Source organism: Homo sapiens, chromosome 2 (assembly GCF_000001405.40).
Source record: "Homo sapiens chromosome 2, GRCh38.p14 Primary Assembly".
NCBI classification, from domain to species: Eukaryota; Metazoa; Chordata; class Mammalia; order Primates; family Hominidae; genus Homo; species Homo sapiens.
In genome coordinates, this window is record NC_000002.12 from 1996203 (window position 1) to 2021116 (window position 24914).

At 45.1% G+C, this 24914-nt stretch overlaps 1 protein-coding gene across 32 annotated transcripts in view, besides 2 other annotated features; it reads right to left on the reverse strand.

Moving 5' to 3' along the window:
* The window catches only part of MYT1L (myelin transcription factor 1 like), a 542163-nt gene that overhangs the window by 207090 nt on the left and 310159 nt on the right, over positions 1-24914 (reverse strand). For all 32 annotated transcript variants that reach the window (NM_015025.4, NM_001303052.2, XM_011510326.2 and 29 more), the window contains one exon: positions 989-1145. The gene's annotated coding sequence lies outside the window, so the exon portion shown is untranslated. The remainder of the gene's footprint in view (positions 1-988; positions 1146-24914) is intronic.
* Positions 11015-11516: an enhancer, noted in NCBI's record as "OCT4-NANOG-H3K27ac hESC enhancer chr2:2010989-2011490 (GRCh37/hg19 assembly coordinates)". NCBI's record gives its function as "activates a minimal SCP1, AML or CMV promoter by ChIP-STARR-seq in primed H9 embryonic stem cells {active_cell/tissue: H9 hESC(primed)}" and the evidence as "EXISTENCE:reporter gene assay evidence [ECO:0000049][PMID:30033119]".
* Positions 11517-12018: an enhancer, noted in NCBI's record as "OCT4-NANOG-H3K27ac hESC enhancer chr2:2011491-2011992 (GRCh37/hg19 assembly coordinates)". NCBI's record gives its function as "activates a minimal SCP1, AML or CMV promoter by ChIP-STARR-seq in naive and primed H9 embryonic stem cells {active_cell/tissue: H9 hESC(naive and primed)}" and the evidence as "EXISTENCE:reporter gene assay evidence [ECO:0000049][PMID:30033119]".

The window sequence follows — 24914 nt, forward strand, 5'->3', positions numbered from 1 at the left end:
CTTTTCTCACACGCAGAGAGCACACAACCTAACCGTCTACAGTGGGGGCCGCCCTGCCTCAGTGTGGACTGTACAGAACCGAGTGTAGACAGGCCACCTTTACCTACTGAGTGAGGGCCGTCTTGCCTCAGTGTGGGCTGTACAGAACCGAGTGTAGACGGGCCACCTTTACCTAGTGAGTGAGGGCCGTCTTGCCTCAGTGTGGACTGCACAGAACCGAGTATAGATGGGCCGCCTTTACCTAGTGAGTGAGGGCTGCCCTGCCTCAGTGTGGGCTGCACAGAGCCGAGTGTAGACGGGCCGCCTTTACCTAGTGAGTGAGGGCCGCCCTGCCTCAGTGTGGGCTGCACAGAACCGAGTGTAGACGGGCTGCCTTTACCTAGTGAGTGAGGGCCGCCCTGCCTCAGTGTGGGCTGTACAGAACCGAGTGTAGACGGGCCGCCTTTACCTAGTGAGGGCCACCCTGCTTCAGTGTGGGCTGCACAGAACCGAGTGTAGATGGGCCGCCTTTACCTAGTGAGTGAGGGCCACCCTACCTCAGTGTGGGCTGCACAGAACCGAGTGTAGACGGGCCGCCTTTACCTAGTGAGCGAGGGCCGCCCTGCCTCAGTGTGGGCTGCACAGAACCGAGTGTAGACGGGCCGCCTTTACCTAGTGAGTGAGGGCCGCCCTGCTTCAGTGTGGACTGCATGGAACCGAGTGTAGACGGGCTGCCTTTACCTAGTGAGTGAGGGCTGCCCTGCCTCAGTGTGGGCTGCACAGAACCGAGTGTAGACGGGCCGCCTTTACCTAGTGAGGGCCGCCCTGCTTCAGTGTGGGCTGTACAGAACCGAGTGTAGACGGGCTGCCTTTACCTAGTGAGTGAGGGCCGCCCTGCCTCAGTGTGGGCTGTACAGAACCGAGTGTAGACGGGCCGCCTTTACCTAGTGAGGGCCACCCTGCTTCAGTGTGGGCTGCACAGAACCGAGTGTAGACGGGCCGCCTTTACCTTACAGGAAGTCTTCTCTCCTAGGAACGGAGGCAGCGTGACTCCTGGCAGGACGCAGGCCCAGAGTCAGGGGCTCGCTCTAAGCTCTACTCCTGGTCCTCTCCAGCTTGTGACTGTGGCAAAGTCACTTAATCTCTCTATGCCTTGATTTCTCCATCTGTAAAATATAAAAAGCAATATACAGCACCTCATGAATTCATCGCCACCTTAGGGAGAGACATACACAGGGCGTCCTCTTTGCAACCGTCAACATGCACACAGCAGCTTCCTCCAGGAACCAAATGTTCTCTTTCATGTCCATGAGCAACGCATTCCCCTTTAGAGTTTATTCTCCTAGGCTTGACGCCTGCTGTTCGGACTCTGACCCTTGCCCAGGCTCCTGTTGGGAGCAAGCCCCAGCTGGGACAGCTTGTTCTCTGCCAGCTACGTCAGCTCTGTGCTCTGCCTGATATGGTTCCATGAGCTCCCAGTTCCTGTGGACCAGAAGCCCTGCACACAGCCTTATCCTCCCTCCTTCCCAGACTCGGGGTAGACTCAGCCCGTGTGGCAGCATCATGGAGGAGCTCCACACCAGGATTCGTGCTGTCACCCTTATTTATTCTGTGATGTCTCCAGGGACTTCTGGGGTGAGAGGACCAGCCTAGTCTCCTTAAAATTCATAGAACTAAAAACCTTACAAAACACTTTCTTACCCATTATGTCATTTGGCCATCAATTGAACTTTATGTGAATTTTATGAATAAAGATACTGATACTCAGAGAGTATCAGAGAGTGCTCAGAACTCCCCAGTTAGTCAGGAGATAATAATTGAAACTGAATTATCTGTGTTGAGATCCAGTATAGTTCTTCCCACCATGAATTAAGGCCTGTCCCTACACATGCTCAGGAAGGACCCACAACGCTGAGACACGGGTCAGGGAATTTGAGTCTCGCCACTAGGTCCTCGGGGAGCCTTGGGTGGTGGCATTGGATAATTGTCCCCTTATGATTTCCATTCCAAAGGATTCAGTGCTTCTTGCTCTCCAGGGTTGACAGGACTAAACCTCTCTGGGCTGTTTTGAACCTCAACAGGTCAAGTGAGCAGAGAGCCCGGAGCCCTGCGATGATGCAGCTTGATGCAGATAACCATCATGGAAGTGCCGCTGCACTTTCTATGCAATTCCTCATTAGAGCAACAGGAAACCAGAGCGTAGAGTTAAATAAGAAATACAGGGAGTCATAATAGGGACATTTTCCCCAGAATTCGCAAATCTTTTCCTTCGACCTGGAAACTAACCCACCTTGTCCACTTCTGCTGACCATTAGGGACTGAGCCCTAAACCCTTTCCTTGTGTACTTAATTTTCCCCAGAGAACAATTTCGTCCATACACACAGTTAATAAGGGATGGAGCATGTATGTCTTGTCAAGAACATAATGGTAGATATGAACCTCAGAAGGTTAAAAATCCTGATTAGTCCCTTGAAGGAGAAAGGAATTAGACCAGATTGATCTTTTTTCTCTACTACATTGTAGTTTAAAACAAAAGAACTTCTCTTACCCCTCCTTTGGATACGATAACTCCCCTAAACATTACCATGAACTCTGAACTATCTTACAGAATCCTCTGTTATGCGAGACCCCAGAGCCCACACAATTCCTACCCGCCTTTGGATCTTATGTGCCTGCTCCTAGTGGTTAACATGGATTCACTGGGGGAAAAAAAAAGAAAAGAAAGAAAAAGAGAAAGAAAATGTTCGCACTGCCCTGTGAAGACAGATTCTAAATGATCAGACATGCTCTACATGTGACCCAAGCAACAAGCAAAATCTTCAACGCGTAAACAATGTGCGATTAGACAGAATGGGTTATAACAGCACCACCACTTACTACTTCATGATTTGAGCATGTTGTTTCATAAGCATTAATTTCCTAGACTTTCAATGTCTGAATTAAATAATATATCAAAAATGTCTGGCTTATCATTAAGTGCTCAATAAATGATAGTAGGCAGTGATATTAATATCACTGGATACCAATTTATTAATATACATTTTCAGTTTCTAATTTCTAAATGTGATGATCTAGACAAGCAGCAAAGGTCACATACAGAAAATTCTGGCTCCCTACATATGAATGTGACCAGTTAATTTGCCCACCCTTGACTGAGGGCTGAGTCTCTGGCACTCTGCTAGACACGGGTAATGCAGTATAAAACAGATGGGTAAGATATCGCTACATCAACTCAAGGCAAGGTGGAGAGAAAGAATAGACAGAAGCTGGAATTGACACAGTTGAAATCTTAAATATGTAGAAAAATAATTTATTTTGGGTGTAAAGACAAATGGAAAATATGAAAGAACAGAAAATTTAAAAATATAAAAATGTATTTTTGCATAAAAAAGAAATTCCATGGCCATCTTTAAATTTACCACCCCAAAGGTCAATAAATGGAAAACTCAACATAATCTATTAAAATAAAAAAAATGAAAACGAGTTAATACATTGGCAACATGCTCAGTTTTCATGCTGTGACATATGTGGGGTGTTTGTCTTTTTTAGTAAATTATTTTATAAAGCTATAGTTACTTTAAAAAGCATTTTGCAATCAGCTAATATCAATGGAATATTAGTAATAATACCCAGAAACATACATATGACTAGCTCATATCTAAAAATTAAACAGTTATTAATGAATGACAAGCAAAGTATGCTACAATTCATATTCATAGTATAAATTCAAATGCGTGTGAGGTTCTTATTAAAGTTGTCATATAAAGCATGCTCATTGGTGGGATTTTATGAACAATAACCTTATGCTAGACAATGCTCCTTAAAGAGCCAACAGAACAAAGAATAATGATGTGATGGAGAAGTTCCTTGCCTGAAATCCGTCCACGTTATTCTAATCAGAAGGTGGCTGTGCATGACTCCAGAACAAAGTACTGCACAAAACCTACAGCTCCCCTCCCTGGGCAGGAGCAGGGCAGCCAGGCAGTCCCCTGAGCCTCTGTGGCCACAACCTGGTGCACAGAGTCCTGTCCCAGGGCAGGGGTTCGAGTCCGTCCTCCGAGCCTCTGCGGCCACAACCTGGTGCACAGACTCCTGTCCCAGGGCAGGGGGGTCAAGAACCTACCAAAATCCCCCTTTTGTGGCTCCTAGTTCATTTAAAAAAAATATTTAAAGTCAGAGGCAGAAATTTCCTCTGGGAAATCTATTTTAGGCAAGCAAGGTCTCAGACCTAATTTGTTTCTGTTTATTTGCTTTTGAAAACCAAGCATTCACAAGTGGCCATCTCCAGAGCTTGACAAGAAGAGTTGGCCTGAGTGACGGGCACTTCTCCCTGGGCTGGGCAGGTCCTGTCTCAGAGGGACCACAGGGTGGGTGTGGTGTGTAGGGGCTATGCCTGCCCCGCTCCTCTGCCCTCCCAATACAGCCGACTCCACATGACCTGAGGACAGGGGGTTGTTTATTTTGGGTTTCTTATGAATCCCATGGTTTGAGTGTCCCACACCATTCTCTTTTGGATTTCTTCTCCAGTTTGTGGACACAGAGCCCCAGGCATTTTTTTTCAGAATGGGGACCTCCACGTAAGGGTTCTAAGGCCCTGCATGTCAGAAATATTTATTTCACTAAGGGGATAATGATCTCACCCAAGATTGCAAAGGCCCTGAGGCTATTTTATTCTATGCTATGCATGCGTGGTGTTCAGGTTTATGAACGGTTCCACTCCATTGCCAGGCCAGTCTGCAGTCTAATCCTGGTTCCCCTGGGAAGCTCAGAAGCTCAGAAGCACGGGTTTTCTCTCTGAACAGGTCTAGGGTCTTCTCTTCCTGTTGGTTTTCTGGAGTTTGATGAGTTTGATGTGTTTAGGTTTGTCAACCTTTTTTCATTCTTAATGCTTGACATTCGTGCCCCCATACAACCTGAAAACTGTTCATCTCCGAGAACTTTCTTCTTTCTTTATTAATTTCCCCCTCTTTATTTCCTTTATCACTATTAGTTTTTTTGAATTTCTACTACTAAATGGATTTGGATTGTCTAAATTTATCTTCCATTGGTTTTAGCTTTTTTTTTTTTTTTGCTTTTTTTTTTTATCTCTTTCTTCTCCATGTTCTGGAAGGTTTTCTAAAATTTACCTTTGACTTCCTCAATTGCACTTTAAATTTTCAGTACTCCAATTTTAATTTTCAAAATTAGGTTTTGTCACAGTCACACATTTGCATTTATTTTGGTCAATTTTTGTCTTTACAAAAGGATAGAGATCATGTCGCACCACTGTGTGGTTAATATCTCACACAAGGTACATTATATGTAAACATTTGATCAATAATAGAGTGAAGAAATAAAGGAAGAAAGAAGTGAGTGAGAGCGTCTCTGCACAGGGCTGGTGCCACATTGTCCCTGTTCCTCACAACTGTATAAAGTGGGTGTTACTAGCCTCATTCTGCAGATGTTGGACAGAAGCTGGAAAGGGTACACAATTTGGCCATTTTTGCACAGTTGATGAGTAAGTTGGGAAAGGAAGCACAGGGTGTCCTGAAGTAATTCAGGCAAAAGTAAAATAGGGAACAACGTCAGGACCTCCTGGGTTCCCTTTGTTGGGCATGACCTCTTAGCACCTCAGGGTTCAGCTGAAGAAAAGGCCTCGTTCCAACCTGGTACCCCGGGGATTCTTGGTTTACTTTTTCATTCCTCGAATGGGTCTTGTTACCTCCAGATCCTCTTGCTCAGAGGTGGGGGGGTCACCTTCTTTCTACATGGAAATAGGATGGTGGCTGTCAGGTTTTAACCCTGCTCCACGGTGAGAAATAGATTTTACATCTTGATCCCGTGTGCACATCCTATGTATATTATAGAGATTTGAAACCGTGATAAAATCAAACATTTCACAGAACAACACCTTCTTAATATGTATGACATCCTCAAATGCTTTCCATTCTACTTCTTTTTATTGACATTAGTACTGCCTCCTCAGACTGGTATCACAACTCACAAATGAATTGTGGCCACAGTTGGAGAAACACCGGTGTAACTTAGCTGGGGTATATTTTCTCCATGGTCTCTCGACCATGAGACTTGGTGTGTGATTGTGCGGTTGGCTCTCTGCTGCTGCCGAACAGCAGCCTGCCTTGACCTCTTCTAGCCCAATACCTCATCACCACTTATGGTAATAAGATACTGAAAACATTATCTATGATACCAGTTGTAAAGTACAGTTGGGTATCTCTCAGTTTCATGTAGAATTCAATTTCAAAACTGCTTTCCATGTATGCCACATGCTTCAGTTGGTCTGTCATTGGATGCCACTGGTAAGTGTCAGGCCACTGTTGTGCTCCAGGTTGCCTAAGAGACAATGAGGATGGAATGTATGAAGTGACTGAAGGCCTTCGGTGGACCAAGCATTATACTAACTGCAAAAGGGTGTAATCATTTGTCCTTACTCACAGGGTAGGGTCAATGTTTTTCAGGGTAAATATTCAACATGATACTTTAGCCTTGTGATATGTGTCCCCACCCAAATCTCACCTTGAATTGTAATCTTGAATTGTAATCCCCATAGTCCCCACATGTCAAGGGTGGCACCAAGTGGAGGTAACTGGATCACGGGGGCGGGGCAGTTTCCCCCATGCTGTTCTCATGATAGAGAGTGAGTTTCAAGAGATCTGATGGTTTTATGAGTGTCTGGCATTTCCCTTGCTTGCACTTCTCCTTCCTGCCACCTTGTGAAGAAGGTGCCTTGCTCCTTCTTTACCTTCTGCCAGGATTGTAAGTTTCCTGAGCCCTCCCCAGCTATGTTAAAGCGTGAGTTGATTAAACCTCTTTTCTTTATAAATTAGTCTCCAGTGTGTCCTTGTAGCAGCATGAGAATGGACTAATATACCTTGGGAATTGCTGAGAACCAATCTATGCCTCCACGTCAACCCCACGGTAAGCTTACAACTGCTCCAAAATATGCACCTGTTCTTCCTGAGTCCCGTTCCCATTTCCCACTTAGACTTGCTCGATTCCCATGGCCTGCTCTGCATGGGGGGCATCTGTGCTTCTGGTGTGTGTCTCTCAACACAGCCTCACACTTCCTGCCAAAGGCTTTTTGGGCTTTTCCACGTGACGTTTCACATAAATTGTTGAAAAAGTCAGCAGGTAGGAGGGTCACTTATTAAACACCCCTCAGCCTTCTCCTCCAAGTTCCCTGTGACAGTGAATAGTAACAACCCAGGCCCCCAGTCCAGGTTTGCCCACCGTCACCCTGGCCCATGGTCCTGGCCTCTGGGTAGCTCCTCTCAGCCTCCCAGTGCCTCTCAACAGAGCTCTTCTCTCCCTCCTGCTGTGTGGCTTGATTCCCACTGATGGACCATGGCCTGTGGGCCTGCTGCTGCTTCCTCCGGCAGCCACAGGGGCTTCTCTCCTGGGGTGGGTGCCTTGGCACCTCCTGCCCCTTCTCTATGTCTTTGTGAGATGTCCCCTTCCTGTACCTGAGTCTTCAGTGCCACCCCATCACCTTTGAGGTAAGACAGCACCCTGGTGTGGGGCCCATGGGTGCTTAGGGCTGCCGAGCCTCCTCCATGTCTGCACGCCTTCCTGTGTGGACCCCCACTTTCCCTGACTAAGTCTCCCCTCAGCCTCTGGGAGCAGCACCTGTTCTCATGGCCCCAGGCCCGGCTGCTTCAGGCACCCTCACTCCACTCCCTCAGTGCACCATGCTTCCTTTTCCATCATGAAGCCTAATACATTGATTCATGCCTTTCGTGCATGCCTTCTTTCCTGCATGAGTTCTTTCCTGCATGCGTTCTTTCCTGCAGGCATTCTTTCCTGCAAGCGTTCTTTCCTGCATGCCTTCTTTCCTGCATGCCTTCTTTCCTGCATGCATTCTTTCCTGCATACTTTCCTGCAGGCGTTCTTTCCTGCATATGTTCTTTCCTGCGTGCCTTCTTTCCTGCGTGCCTTCCTTCCTGTGTGCCTTCTTTCCTGCATACGTTCTTTCCTGTGTGCCTTCTTTCCTGCGTGCCTCCTTTCCTGCAGGCGTTCTTTCCTGAATGTGTTCTTTCCTGCAGGCGTTCTTTCCTGCAGGCGTTCTTTCCTGCAGGCGTTCTTTCCTGCAGGCGTTCTTTCCTGCATGCGTTCTTTCCTGCATGCGTTCTTTCCTGCAGGCGTTCTTTCCTGCATACGTTCTTTCCTGCGTGCCTTCTTTCCTGTGTGCCTTCTTTCCTGCAGGCGTTCTTTCCTGCATGCGTTCTTTCCTGCATGCGTTCTTTCCTGCATGCGTTCTTTCCTGCAGGCGTTCTTTCCTGAATATGTTCTTTCCTGCTTGCCTTCTTTCCTGCAGGCATTCTTTCCTGCAGGCATTATTTCCTGCATACGTTCTTTCCTGCATGCGTTCTTTCCTGCGTGCCTTCTCTTCTGCAGGCGTTCTTTCCTGCATGCGTTCTTTCCTGCAGGCATTCTTTCCTGTGTGCCTTCTTTCCTGCAGGCATTCTTTCCTGCGTGCCTTCTTTCCTGCGTGCCTTCTTTCCTGCGTGCATTCTTTCCTGTGTGCCTTTCCTGCGTGCCTTCTTTCCTGCGTGCCTTCTTTCCTGCAGGCGTTCTTTCCTGAATACGTTCTTTCCTGCAGGCATTCTTTCCTGCATGTGTTCTTTCCTGCAGGCATTCTTTCCTGCATGTGTTCTTTCCTGCATGCGCTCTTTCCTGCATGCGTTCTTTCCTGTAGGAGTTCTTTCCTGCATGTGTTCTTTCCTGCATGCGTTCTTTCCTGCAGGCATTCTTTCCTGCATGCGTTCTTTCCTGCATGCGTTCTTTCCTGCATGCCTTCTTTCCTGCAGGCGTTCTTTCCTGCATGCCTTCTTTCCTGCGTGCCTTCTTTCCTGCAGGCGTTCTTTCCTGAATACATTCTTTCCTGCATGCGTTCTTTCCTGCAGGCGTTCTTTCCTGAATATGTTCTTTCCTGCTTGCCTTCTTTCCTGCATGCATTCTTTCCTGCAGGCATTATTTCCTGCATATGTTCTTTCCTGCATGTGTTTTTTCCTGCAGGCATTCTTTCCTGAATATGTTCTTTCCTGCGTGCCTTCTCTCCTGCAGGCGTTCTTTCCTGCATACGTTCTTTCCTGTGTGCCTTCTTTCCTGCAGGCGTTCTTTCCTGCGTGCCTTCTTTCCTGCGTGCGTTCTTTCCTGTGTGCCTTTCCTGCATGCGTTCTTTCCTGCATGCCTTCTTTCCTGCCTGCTTTCTTTCCTGCGTGCGTTCTTTCCTCATGCGTTCTTTCCTGTGTGCCTTCTTTCCTGCATGCGTTCTTTCCTGCATGTGTTCTTTCCTGAATGCGTTCTTTCCTGCAGGCATTCTTTCCTGCATGTGTTCTTTCCTGCAGGCATTCTTTCCTGAATATGTTCTTTCCTGCTTGCCTTCTTTCCTGCATGCATTCTTTCCTGCAGGCATTATTTCCTGCATATGTTCTTTCCTGCATGTGTTTTTTCCTGCAGGCGTTCTTTCCTGAATATGTTCTTTCCTGCATGCGTTCTTTCCTGCGTGCCTTCTCTCCTGCAGGCGTTCTTTCCTGCATGCGTTCTTTCCTGTGTGCCTTCTTTCCTGCAGGCGTTCTTTCCTGCGTGCCTTCTTTCCTGTGTGCGTTCTTTCCTGTGTGCCTTTCCTGCATGCGTTCTTTCCTGCATGCCTTCTTTCCTGCCTGCTTTCTTTCCTGCCTGCTTTCTTTCCTGCATGCGTTCTTTCCTCATGCGTTCTTTCCTGCGTGCCTTCTTTCCTGCATGCGTTCTTTCCTGCATGTGTTCTTTCCTGAATGCGTTCTTTCCTGCAGGTGTTCTTTCCTGCATGCGTTCTTTCCTGCATGCATTCTTTCCTGCATGCGTTCTTTCCTGCAGGTGTTCTTTCCTGCATGCATTCTTTCCTGCATGTGTTCTTTCCTGCATGCCTTCTTTCCTGCATGAGTTCTTTCCTCCATGCGTTGTTTCCTGCACGTGTTCTTTCACTCATGGCTTCTTTCTTTTGCACCCTTTCTTACTTCAGACACAAACACATCATTATGTGGTACTCTAACAGTCTGCTTATAGCCTAGTTTCTCCATTTCATTAAAAAAAATGTTATCATGTATGTTTGATGTTTACAACATGTTGATATGGGATACACATACATCGTAGAATGCTTACTATAGTGAAACAAATTAACTTGTTTATCATCTCAGTTACTTTTTTGTGACAAGAGCAGCTAAAATCTACTTAGTTAGCAAAGCCTCCAACACAGTATAATTTTATTAACTTTAGTTTTCATATTGGGCATTAGATCTCTAGACTTGATCATCCCACATATCTGCTATTTTGTATCATTTGACTTATATCTCCCCATCACCCCCCACCCATAACCACTGTTTCACTCTCACCTACGTGTATTTGAGCTTTTATTTTTAATTTTTACTTTTTTGAGACAGGGTCTCACTCTGTCAATCAGGCTGGAGTGCAGTGGCGTGATCTCGGCTCACTGCAACCTCTGCCTCCTGGGTTCAAGTGATCCTCCCACCTCAGCCTCCAGAGTAGCTGAGACTACAAATGCACATCACCATGCCCGGCTAATTTTTGTATTTTTAGTAGAGACGGGGTTTCACCATGTTGGCCAGACCGGTCTCCAAGTCCTGAGCTCAAATGATCCACCCCCTTCAGCCTCCCAAAGTGCTGGGATTACAGGCCTGAGCCACCGCACCCAGGCTGAGCTCTTTAGGAAAAAAAAAAAAGTTCCACATTTAAGTGAGATAATACAATATTTTTCTTTCTGCATCTGACTTATATTACGTAGTATAATATTTTCTGGGTATATCTATATTGTGGCAAATAGCAGGATTGCATTCTTCTTAAGGCTGAATAATATTTCATTGAAGATATATATATATATATATATCCCCCACATTTTTGCCATCCATTTGTCCATTAGGTTGCTTCTGTATCTTGGCTATTGTCAATCATGCTGCAATGAACATGGGAGTTGCAGGCATCCTTACGAGGCATTGATTTTGTCTCCTTTGGAATTTCCTCAGGAGGATTGGTGGGTCACATGGTAGTTCTATTTTTAATGTACTGTTTTTCATAATGGCTGTACCAAGCCACATTCCCATCTACAGTGTGCAAGGCTTCCCTTTTGTCCACAACCTCACCAACCCTTGCTATCTCTTGATTTTTGGATAATAGCTGTAAACCAAAAAGTATCTGAGATGGGTATCAATCAATTTAGAAGGTTATTTTGCCAAGGTTAAGGAAAAAAACAAAACAGAATTACAGAAACTGTCTGTGCCTTTCTCCAAAGATGAATTTGAGAGCTTCAATATTTAACAGGGAAAACTGGCACTTTACATAAGATAAGGTGAATGAGGAGTTGCTACCTGTGGAGATATTTAACCTTTTATCTGTAGCTATCTGCTTCGGAACAAAGGGAAAGGTAACTTCTTGCATGACTCAGATTTCAGCTTATTTTTTTTTCTTTTGGCCTAGGGAATTGTGGTCCCAACTTGTTTTTTTCCATTCACACAGCTGTCCTTCCATGTGTGAGGTGGTAACTTATGATGAAACCACCTTTGATAAATGGTAACAGTGAGAAAATTCTGGGAGTGGAAGATCTGATCCAGCCAATGCCATTTTGCCTTTACCCTCAAGCTGCCAAACTAGCTTTGGGAGACATTTAGTTGATAGTTTAAATGATAATTAATAGGCCTTCCCCCAAACCCAACTGCCTTTGTAAAGCTAATGAGAGACCACCTGGTGAGGGGGAGGAGAGGAGCCTGAATTCTGCTAAGGTGTGGACATTCATGATGGTCAGCCATTATTCCGGAGGTCCTGCAGAGAGCATCTCTATAGTAGAACCTACGATTGGCTTTTTGAGGCATCTTCTCAGGTTTTTTGCATGTCTGACACCCATGGCTCCATGTGGACCCCCCAATAGATGACTCTGTCACTCCTGTGGCCCCACTCAGAAACCACTCAGTGCACAGGGGGACCTTTCCCACACCCTGTGATTGTATCCTAGTCAGTTGGCAGCAAGCAGCCTGCCTAGGCGCCCCACACTTTCCTCAAACTGTCCTTGAAAATCCCTTAACCTACAAGCCTTCCATGAGGTTGATTTGAGTTAATAACTCCATCTGCCACGGGCGTGGCCAGCCTCGCATTAATTAAACTCTTGGTTTACTGCAATGCCCTGGTCTTCATTTGTGCAGTGGGCAGGAAGAACAGGCCAGGAGGTTACAATGATGGCTTTATTTTGCGTTTCCCATTTGAGGAGTGATGCTGAACACCTTCTCATTTGCCTGTTGGACATTTTTATTTGTTGTTTTGAAAAATGTCTGTTTACGGCCTTCGCTCATTTGAGGATTATTTGCCTTATTTTTACTGTTGATTTGTAAGAGTTATTTATACATTTTGGATATTAACCCCTTATCAGATGTGATTTGCAAACTTTTTTTTTCCACTCTATAGGCTGCTTTTTCATTGTGATATTGTTTCTTTGGCTGTGCAGAAGCTTTATGGTTTTGTGTAGTCCATTTATTTATTTTTGTTTTGTCATTTAAGCTTTTGGGTAACATTTTAAAAAGTGTTGCTGTGACCAAGGTCAAGGAGATTTTTCCCAACATTTTCTTCTTGGAGTTTTATGGTTTCAGGTTTTACATTTAGGGCTTGCATCCATTTTGAGTTATTATTATTTTTTTTAATGTATAAGACAAGGATCCAATTTTATTATCTTCCATGTGAAAATTCAGTTTTCCCAGCACGGTTTATTGAAGGGACTGTCCTTTCCCCATTGTGTCCTCTTGGTGACCTTGTCAAAAATTAGTTGCGCATATTTGTTTCAATTTATTTGGGGGCTCTTTGTTCTGTTCCACGGGTCTATGGTTCTGTTTTTATGCCAGTATCATACTGCTTTAATATCTATAGCTTTGTAATATAATTTTAAATCAAGAAGTATGATTCCTCCAACTTTGTTTTTCCTTCTCAGTGGTTTTTTTTTTCTTTTTTTCCTGGCTTCTTGGAGTTTTTTGTGGTTCTACAAACATTTTAGGATATTTTCCCAATTTCTGTGAAAATTGCTATTGTTGCTATTGAAGATTTTAATAGGGATTGTGTTAAATCTGTATATTACTTTGGGTAGTATGGACATTTTAACAATACTAATTCTTCCTAATGAACATGAAATATCTTTTCATTTATTTGTGCCTTTTTCCATTTCTTTCCTTAATGTTTTATAGTTTTTGGTGTACATATCATTTACCTCCTTTGTTAAATTTGTTCCAAAATATCTTTTTTGATGCTATCATAAATGGGATTGTTTTACTGATTTATTTTCCAGCTAGGTTATTATTTTTCTATACAAATGCTACTGATTTTTGTATGCTGATTTTGTATTCTGCAACTTTGCCGAATTCATTCATAATTCTAACAGTGCTTTTGTGTGTAATCTTTGGGGTTTTCTACATATTGGATCATGTCATCTGCAAATAGAGAAATGCTACTTCTTCCTTCTGAAGTGGATCCCTTTTGTTTATCTTATTTCATTTCTTGTCTGACTGCTCTTGTTAGTACTTCTAATCCCATGCTGAATAGAAGTGGCGAGAGAGGGCATCTCTGCTTTCTACTGGATCTTAGTGGCAAAGTTTCAGTTGCTCCCTGTTAATTATATTAGCTGCAGGTTTTACATGATAGCCTTCATAATGCTGAGAAACTTTTCTTCTATACCTAAACTGTTAAGAGTTTTTTTTTTTTTTTTTTTTCATGAAAGGGTGTTGAACTTTGTGAAAAGCTTTTTCTGTGTCAGTTGAGATGATCATGGGGTTTTAAAATCTTTCATTCTGTTAATGGGATGCATCACATTGATTGATTTGCATATTTGAAACCAGCCTCCCATTGCATTTTAAAGATTATTCTAAAGCTGTGCAAAGGCTCTGCCTTTACATTTTGGGCATCTATGGGGTAAAATGGAGAGTACACCAAGGCAGTGCCCATCTGGCAGAACTTCAGAGTAGATTCTCCTGCTTCTCCTCCTGCTTAGCTGCTTTTCTGTGTAGAGAGTGAGGAAGGTGAGACGTACAGGCAGCAGGGGATTAAGAAACAACTTGTCCCTAAATGACCCTTCAGGTCTGGGGGAAAACATTTGGAAGAATGGGAAGCCAAATGTTTTCCCCCTAGACCTAGATGTCTGAAGCTGCAAGTCTGAAGGCTGACTGTATGTTGTTAAGTTCTGCTTGGCTATGAACAAGCTGTGAAATGCAGGGACAGTTAGGTGTTGTCTGGGTGTAGACAGGGCCTGCTGCCAGTGACAGCAGTGTGCTAGGAAGAAAGGCACATGGGAGGTGCCACTCTGCTGCTGTCTGTCCATCATAGCCACAGATTCATTATATTGGATCAAGTCTCGGTATCTTCTGGATACACTCCCCATGGCTGCTACTACCCAGTGATCGATCCGACGCCCTTCTAGGGATGTTCTGTCATTTAAAGACCAGGGATTACATCCATGATCTTCTATGCAATGGCTTTGTGAACTTTAAGATTCAGAAGCCACACCCACAGCTAACATCATACAGAACAAAGTAGGAGGGCAAACACTTCCCGACTTCAAAACTCACTACAAAGCAACAGCAATCAAGACAGAGTGGTGCCACATATGGACAGACATGATGCAGCTCAGCGGAACAGAACCCATACCAAGAAGTAACTCACGCGTCTACTGTCAACAGACTCTTCACAGGGGTGCCGGGGCTAGTCAAAGGGGAGAGAATCATCTTTTTAACCAACCGGATATCCCCATGCAAACAGGGGTACTCATTTCTGAGTACTTCAGCCCAGTGAGATGGAGTTGGTGGCAGCCTGCCTCCAGCATGTCCCTATCTCACACTGTGTACAATAATAAACTCAAAATGGATCCAAGACCCAAACTTGGATCCATATAAGAACTAAAAGTAGGCTGGGCATGGTGGCTCATGCCTGTCATCCCAGCACTTTGGGATGCCAAGGCGGGTGGATCACTTGAGGTCAGGAGTTTGAGACCAGCCTGGCCAACACGGCAAAACCCTGTCTCTAGTAAAAATACAAAAAAATTAGCCAGGCATGGTGGCATGTGCCTGTAATCCGAACTACCATGTTAGGCTGAGGCAGGAGAATCACTTGAACCCGGGAGGCAGTGAGTTGCAGTGAGTTGCAGTGAGCCGAGATTGCGCCACTGCACTCCAGCCTGGGTGACAGAGCAAGACTCCATCTCAGAAAAAGAAAAAAAAAGAAAAAAAAGAAAAAAAAAAACTGTAACTATACAACTCTCAGATTTGGCAACATATTCTTAAATATGACAACAAAAGCATGAGCAATTAAAAAGTAGATAAATTGAACGCTATCAAAATTTTAAAAAACAGACTTTTGTGTTGCAAATACACCACCACAAAAGTGAAAAAAACAATCTACAGAAGGGGAGAAGGTATTTAAAAATCATATATTGATAAGGGATTTCTATCCAGAATATATAAATAATTATTATAAATCAATAATAGAATGACAACCCAGTTAACAACTGGCAAAGGATCTGAACAGATATTTCTCCAAAGAAAATCTGCAAAAAACCCTAAACACACAAAAAGACTGTCAATATCATTAGTCATCAGAGATGTATAAATCAAAACTACAGTGAGACCATGCTATACCCACTGGGATGTCCAGAAGCAAACATGAGATGCTGACAAGTGCTGGTCACTTGTCACTTGCTGTATGCAGACAGCCCTCATTGCACTTGAGGATGGCCCCAGGTGCTAGACCACCAAGGGAATCAGAACATGCCTACGTTGCTGGTGAGAATGTCAATGGTGCAGTCACTTTAGAAAACAGTGAGGCAGCTCCTGAACGGATTCACCAGAGTCGAGTCACTATGTGACCCAGAAATTCCATTCCTAAAGAAGCATTAAGAACATGTTCACACATTCATATAAAGACTGTATATGTTTACTGTAACTTTATTTGTGACAGCCAAAATGGAATCTCCTTAAATTTCCATCTACTGATGAATGGACAAAGAGAATGGGGCTGATTTATATAATAAAGTTCACTAATGTGGGATATATATGAATTCATAGATAATGAAATATATATCTGCCATAAAAAGTTATGAAGCACTGATAGATGCTACGACATAAATGAAGGTTTAACACATTATGCTAAGTGAGAGAAGTCAGTCTCACACGGCCACGTCTAATGATTCCATTTACATAACAAGTGCAGAATGGAGAAAGTTGCAGAGGCAGAAGGTAGATTAGTGGCCACTTGGGGCCAGAGTCGGGGAATGTGGGAGTGATGGGGTTTCTTTCTGAGGTGATGAAAATGTTCTAAAGTTGACTGGGTGATACTTGTTTGTATCTGTGACTATCATAGGCCCGCTTATTTGTGGTTTTCCTTTTCATGGTTTCAGATACCCAAGGTCAACAATGGTCCAAAAATATTCAACGGAAAATTCCAGAAATAAACCATGATGAATTTTCCATTGTGTGCTCGTGATGAAATCTCCCGCCCTCCAGTTCCATCTGGCTGGGACATGAATCATTCCTTTGTCCAGTGCGTCCGTCCACACCGCACACCCTACCCACCCGTCAGTCACTTGGAAGCCATCTCAGTCATGAGAGCCACCGCTGTGGTACCGCAGTGTTGTATGCAGGGTGCCTCATTGCACTTCAGGGTGGCCCCAGGTGATAGAGCACCGAGGCCGGCTTGTTGTTTATCATCGCTCCATGTCATTAGTTATTATTGTTAACCTCTTCCTGGGCCAGAGTTGTAAATTAAACTTTACCGCAAATATGTGTGTATGTGAAAAAACATAGTATATGGAGTTTTGGCACTATCCATGGTTTCAGGTGCCCACGGGGGGTCTTGGAATGTATCCCACAGATACAGGAGAACACGCGATTCTAGAACCCACTGAAGTGTACACTTCCAATGGGTGCATTTTATGGCATGTGAATTATATCTCAAAGTTGTTGATATATTCATGCGATGTCTCAAGGAACACTCAGGAAACACAAATGAAGCAACTGAAGCCTCCTGAGCTACTCACTCCTGCCTCAACTTCCCACGGGCCCAGCGGTCACTTCTTCCCTGGACTCAGGGGCCAGGCTTCCCTCGAATGACGCATGGGAACCCCCTTTGTGCCCTTCAGCTCCAGGCCAAGATCCTCACCCATCAGCAATGGTGTCTGTGGGGCCTCTGACACCTGCCCATCCAGCCACTGGGCTCTGCCTCTTCACAGCCTCACCTGGTGAGCCAGGACCTGAAGCCTAGAACCTGAAACATTAACCCAAACTCATTGCCCGTGTGGCCCACTGGAGCCTGGAACCGGAGGCTCATGGTCACCGTGAGGGCACAAGGGCTCAGATGCATGTTGCCATGCTCAGAATTCCGCTTCTGGCTATAACCTCGGCTGTTGATCAGGGAGTGTCTGCAGAGCCAGGCTTCAGATCATGTGCTGCTCTGCAGATCGGGGACATGCTGGAGGCATGCTGCCACCAACTCCATCTCGCTGGGCTGAAGTACTCAGAAATGAGGGGCAATTCTCACCAGAAAGGGGAGAGCCCTGCTGGCCCAGGTGGGCTCCAAGAAGGGGGACTGAATTCTGCTAACACAAAGCACCCATGTGGGTTCTGCAGTGCCATTCATGCATTCACATGCTGCTGCACGGAGGCCTGCGTCCGCACCCGGGCAGTTTGGTTTAAGGTCATAGGTGGAGTCCTTCCCACATAAACTTTTTAAGGCACAGGGATGGTGAAGAAGTGTTTGCTCCATGCATCACAGGATTTGATCTTGCTGGAACTCCATTCATATGACCAGAAATGTGGATGCCCATGCCTTTTCCTATGCAGCCAATTTGCCTAGTAAATAACAACTAACTGCTAAGGAAGAACCAGATCAAGAGTAGATTGCCTCCTTGCACCTTTTAAATGAAATAAAACTTTGAGAGCAAGTAAAGTGCATCTCATTATTATTTCATTTTTTTTCCTGCAGTGGGATATGCAGGAATCCTGTTTTTTTTTTTTTTCCTGAGCAGTCAGAGAGAGTTCCACTGCCTCTATCTAGTGGCAAATTGGGGATTTAATGCCTTAATAACCAGCCCTTGTCCTTGTGAACCGCCTTTTGTGGGCGGTCTCCAAGTTCCTTCCAAACAGTGACTTAATTAATGCCCACAGCAGCCCTGTGCTCCAGCAAACGTGATAATCCGCCCTTCACTGCTGACAGCCCTGGGAAGGCCGGTCATCCTGGGAGAGAACTGTGCAGGGCAGAGCTCAGCAGCAGCAGACCAGAGTCAAAGGAGTGGGTGGAAGGTCGTGTCTGCATGGAAGGTGAGGAGGTGTTTATCCTCCTTCCTCTGCAGCAGGGAGCACAGGCGTCTGCTTGCTGGCAGCTTCTCAGGAGCTCCAGCATCTGTGTCTGGGCATCCCGGATGGGCACCCTGCCTGACTCTGATTCATAATCTGAGTGCTCAGCCCAGAGCCCAGAGCTCACAGAAGCAAAGAAATGAATGCAGATAAGATGTATTTAGGCCAAGAATGGCCAGCAAGGCAGGCAATGAGTGCCAATGCTGGGGCGAGCAAGAGGACTAGATCCCAGGAGCTGAAGTGGAGCAGGCAGGTTTCCGGGGAAGAAGATTCACTGGAGTTCCCCTTAAGAGGGGTGCTATCAGCCCCATGAGAAGCAGAAGCTAGAGAGTGTGCCAGAAAGAAAGGCTTTGGTGAGTCAGGATACAAGGCTTTTGAACTCCGAATTAAGATATTTGGACTTTTTTTTCTCTTCTTACCTACAAAGGGCTATTGGATTTCTTGGAGTGACACAGCGTTAAAATCAAAATTGTGTTTTAGGGTGATCTTTTCGGCCCTAATTCAAAATGCAAATTTTCTAGCTGGGCTGGCACTTGTATCCATAGATACCAGGTGTCCTGGTGTGGGATGAATCATAAGCTCGACCACGCGGGTTTTACAAAGGGATGCATGGCCTCAAGAGCACTGCAATGCTGAAGAGAATGGGTGCAAGGGCAGGGCCTTTAAGCACACGGCCTCCGAGGAGTCTCTGTTTCTGGGGACTTAATTTGGGCTCCACGATAATGATGGAAAGGAGACAGTGCAGGCGCAGCATGCAGGATGTTCACCAGCAGCGTCCTTATCACACTTGATCCTCACAAAAAGGCCACGTTCTTGCATGGTTGTTGCCACCGTGCTCTAAAGATAAGGAAGCCATGGCTATGGGAGGCCAGGCAGCTCCTCCCGCAGCTGGACCACCTGGAAGGCTACCTCACCTCCATGCCTGCACCTTCTGGGCTGTGAAACAGGATCCTAAAAGGGCTATCTTTGGGCCTTCCAAGCAAAACACACATCAGGGCACCTCATTAAGTAGCAAGTGTGCAAGGCATTATATGAATTACAAAGTTCTCTGCAAACTCAAGAGACTCATAGCTGCTCTGGCTTTGCAGCTGTTTTAGAGATAGGGAAAACCACATGAGGAAACAAAGGTGGAAGGAGAAGCCTGTGAGGCAAGGGAAGGAGGGGGCGGGAGGAACTTCCCACCAGCACACCGGCTGTCCACTCTGCCCCGGGTTCCAGGACAGGTTCTGTCTCATATTTCACTTGTTCATTTCCTTCAACAATCCTGTGAAGTGGCAGCCCTTTGTCTATCTTGCAGATGTTGTGTAACCCATACAAAGTGAGATTCCGGCAAGCATTCCAACTGGGGTCCCTCCAGGAATATGGGTGGGACTCCCAGGTCAGGAGGCTCGCTGCAATCATGGTACAGCAGAACAAAGGAAAGCTTCACAAAAAGTTAATGAGGGAGGGGCTGGAACCTAAAAGGACACACACCATCCACTGTTTTCTTTAATAAAATGTCAACTTAGGAAGGAAGATTTGCATTCATCTTGGGTCAGCTAAAGCCTTGTAAGGATTCACTCATCAATTAGGTGCTAGGAGCTTTGTCCACATCCACTGTTTGGGTGCAGGGGACAACGCTGTGGTGAAACCATACAAAGCCACTGCTCTCTGGAGCTTAGATGCCCAGGCAGGGATGGCAAACAAATGCACAGACACGTGATATGCCAGGGGAGAGAGGCATTCAGACACCAGAACACAGAGCAAGAAGATGGAGAGGGTCAGGAAGTGGCTGTTTCAGGAAGACTGGCCGGGAAGCTGTCTGAAAACTTGGATGCCTGAGCAGAGAAATTCCTCCTCCTGCCTATTAAGCCACCAAAGCAAAGCCCTTTGGAATTTAAGATGGGGAAGCACACGAAACCCTAGCTCAAGAGTTCTCACAGCCGCCATGGCACTGTTCACTTTTCTAAATGCTGCCAAGCCAGACAATTCCTCAGAGGTCCAGGATTCTGTAGAAATAACCAGGAATCCAACACCCTTCTCTGTCACAGCACTCAGTGGCTGCTGATGCATGAGGTAGCTTCTGTGGGAACTGGGGAAACATATGTGAAAGAAGAACTCCAAAGACAATAAAAGACAAAAATAATATTTAGAATCAAGAGGGAGAAAGAAGCTGGCATGCTGGATAAGAAAAGCAAAACATATATAAATACATATGTATGCACATGCATCTGTAATCATCTAGATCACGTGAAGACACGAAACCACATAGGAGCTACCAGTACATGCATCTAAGTGTCTGAATTTCCTGCCAATCTGGGCAACGGCATTCTGAAATCCATCAGCCAGAGCACAGCTAATTAAAGCAGACCCACATTTTCTTAGCATGAATTTCACCACACAGATGGCAATTTAAAAGCATCTACCTGCTTAAATTACAATGTAAAGGAGGAGATATTAAAATCTTGCTAATAATTGAGTCCAAAGGCCTATCGACAGCTGTGCTGCCTCCCCTGAAAGACAGCCAGGTGGGGAGGCAGGCTGGGTCTCCTGGGGCTTCACACAGAGCCATCATTACAGGCTGGGGAGTGGCTTGGGCTATTGCCGTATTCATGGACTCGTAGACTCCACACTGAGAGTTGCCCTAGAGACTCAACGCTCCCTGCTTATCGCACTGGTGAGGCCAGCAGGCGCCTGCACTCACCTGACATCAACTAACCTCCTTCCTTTGTAGCATTCTGCATCTTCTCAGGTTTGCAAAAGTTATTCAGGAGAACAGACAATTGTGAACACAATCTAATTACCCAATGGCATAGGAAGGGCTTTGTGATTGATAACAAGTCCATGTCCCAGTATGGACGAGAGGACCTCTGATTTGAAAAAGGAAGCTAGCTTGAGAGATGGGCTTCCAGCCAGTGCCTTCAACTGTGGATCTACCTGCTCTAAGTTGCAGGTTCCCCCTTCATACTGCGAAGGTCACAATACCTTGCTGTGTGGTGTCTGGGTGAATTACATGACAAAATACACAACATACAGCCAGGGTCCAATAGACACAACTCTTTCATCCCCAAGTAAAACAAGTATTATGAAGACTTTGTAGCAATGTTTAAGCACTTAAGATGTAACTTTGAAAAAGTATACTTTAGGTTGCAAAATTATAAGTATAATCCTATCTATCTATCTATCTAACCATCCATCCCTCCATCCATCCATCCATCCATCCATCCATCTTATAATCCAACAAAACACAGAAGGGATGCTATGTGTTCACTGTCTTCCTGTATGTGAATGCTAGGTTTCTGGGGCAGAGACTGCATTTCAATTTCTTTTATATTTTTCAAAATTTTGGACCTTTAAGGATTTAATTTGTTGTTTTTATTTAAGTACCTGTTTCACCTAAAAGTATTAATAACATGTTAATCTAGTGAAAGCAGGTATCTGTTTTGTACACAAGCACTACACTCTTAAAATTAAGTTTATTTCTCACTATTCGTGCCTTTATCCTATACACACACAAACGCACACACGTACATAATTGATTTTCCACATGGATTCAAAAGAGTAAAGCCTGCATAAAGAAGACAGTATAGACCCAAAGCAAGTGGACTCTACTTTTAAAATCTCAGATGACACTAAGCAGGTTTGATTTTTCTTTCTCTTTTCCTCACTTAATAATATTCTAGGGCAGACAGAATAAGACCTTCTTGCCTAGTGTCTGTTTCTCTGTCTGTTGTCTGCCCTCAGACACTAACTCAGGTCATAGCAGAAGATGAAGTTGGCCATCTCCTTGGGTTGCAGGTCGAGTTTGGTGCATCCCAGAGCCCTCCCGCCATCCCACTGGATGGTGGCCATGGAGAGACAGAGGAGCAGAGGGAGAGACAAAGGAACAGGGATGGAAGGACCTGCATTGGTCACTAGTAACTTAGCAACCCATGGGCCAATATGAAGAGCAAGATTCTCACTGGGTCATGTGCTCCAGTGCTCCTTTTGTGGAGGAGGGAATCTTGAAGACATTGGGTCAGATTGAGGCCCGGCCAGGCCGCTCATCGGATTCAGCCTTTCCTGCTCTCCGCCGTTTATGGCATGGTGCATGCTGCAAAGCAATGCAAAGTTGAGGAGTGATTAGACCCTCAAACCCTCAGGAAGTAGCAGGGGATCCAGGGCCTGAACACTTGGACTGTGTCCTCTCCACTTGGTCAATGGATTCTCCTGTTTCACGCAGAGATCAACAACTCCCCCAGAAAGGTGAGCCCAATGTTTGTATAGGAGGCTGGGAAAGAGGCCCTGCAGTTCCTCAACACCACCTACATTTCGTTTTTGAGTTCCAGAGAGAGAACGCCTCCTAAGGAGGGCTGCTCTCCACCTGTCTACACTCACGTGGGCATATTACATAGAGCTGGGGGAGCCGCTGATTTGTGAGTTGACAGATGGAGAGGATGGTTTTGACTTGGGTAAGAAATATCTTCCCACCTTAGTACAATACTAGATGCTGGCTTCTGTGTAAATTTAGCTTTATCTCCATTTCTCACAAAAAGAAATTAATTTGGTGACTTATGTAAGGTCAAGTAACATGCCCGATATGGTTTCGCTGTGTCCCCACCCAAATCTCATCTTGAATTGTAGCTCTCATAATTCTCATGTGTTGTGGGAGGGACCTGGTGGGAGGTAATTGAATCATGGCGGGCGAGTCTTTCCCATGCTGTTCTTGTGACAGTGAGTAAGTCTGATAAGATTTGATGGTTTTATAAAGGGGAATTCCCCTGCACACACTCTCTTGCCTGCCACCATGCGAGATGTGACTTATTCCTCCTTGCCTTCTGCCATGATTGCGAGGCCTCCTCAGCCTTGTGGAACTGTGAGTCAATTAAACCTCTTTCCCTCATAATTACTCAGTCTTCGGTATGTCTTTATTAACAGCATGAGAACAGACTTATACAATGCCCAAGGCCACTCAGACAAGAGAACAGATTTGGTATCCAAGCCCAGAGGCCCTAACCCCAAGTCCACTTATCTCAAGTGATACATAAATATATTCTCAGTGTGGGGGGTTCAGACTTCATGGATAACACTCAAGTTCCTTTAGATCCATGTCATTCTCTGCCATGCAGGCAAACACCTTTGTTAGTTTTTTCTATATTTGCTCTACATGTATCTACATGCATGCATGCACACATGCAACCTCACACACAGGCTGCCACACCCTTAGTCCTACTACATATGGAAATGCTAGAATTACTTCATTTTTTACCATAAATGTTATACTGTAAATATTCTTCTATTTTTTTTTCAGTTTGAGTTGATAACATTTACATGCCAGTGTAATTATTTTATTTATTTTTTGATATGGTATGCTCTGTCACCCAGGCTGGAGTGCAGTAGCAGATCTCAGCTCGCTGCAACCTCTGCCTCCTGGGCTCAAGGGATCCTCCCACCTCAGCCTCCCGAGTAGGTGAAACTACAGGTGTGCGCCACTGCACCCGGCTAATTTTTGTATTTTTTGTAGAGACGAGGTTTCACCATGTTGTCTAGGCTGCTCTTGAACTCCTGAGCTCTAGCAATCTGCCCAGCTCAGCCTCCCAAAGTGCTGAGATTACAGGTGTGAGCCACCATGCCCAGCCGCCAGTGTAATTAGCTATAGCTTGATTGTCAGGATTGGTGGGGGCTGTTATTCCATAGTATAGCTACAATCAGTTTATAAAACTATCACGTGTTGATATAAATTCAGGGTTTCTTTTCCTATTTTTCACCAAACACTCAATACTGTAATAAAATGTTTGTATGTGTCTCTTTCTCATGCACACATACCTATATTTCTCAAGGGTAGAGATTTATTTAAAATTTCCAGATGCCAAGGAGTCGCCCTTCAGAGTGTTCTCATGAATTTATCCTCAGCACAGGAAGGCGCACGTTCACGAACACATTTGCCAGTGTGGGGTTACATCTCACTTGACTGCTGATTTCATGGTGTATTTGTGTATGACAGATTATCTGAGTCAGAATAGGTAGTTCCTAGACATGTCTACCTCCTCTTCTATGATGTAGCTATTTCCTTCATCTTTATTACATTGTTTATATGCACTCTGCATACTTAATCTTTTCATATCATAGTTCCCCCAGTTTACTGCTGGTCTTTTGGCTTTGTTTACAAACTTTTCTTGTTCCTAAGTTTTAAACTTTGATCTACTTACATTCATCAGTCTTTTGTAATGTCTACGTTGTATGTGGCACCTAAGAAGGCTTTTCCTATTCTAAGGGAAAAGACAGGCTCCAGGATTTTCTCCTAATCCTTGCATATATTTGATTTTCAAAATGTAGATCTTTAATTAGCCAAAGTTTATTTGGGATTGATGTAAAACAGGAACCTGACCCAGTTAGCATAGCTCCAGGGACCCCAGCTGCCTCTGAGCAGCTCCTTCCAGAAGACCGAGGACCTTCCCTCCTGCAGCAGAAGGCTGTGAACTGCACAGGTGAGTCTGCGTCCTCAGGGTCCCTCTCTGCTTAGTAAGTGACGATGGGCAGACACCTGAGAAGAGAACCACGGGCAACGCTGGCTGGACGGTCTCCCGGAGGGGCTGCTTTAGAAGGGTGGG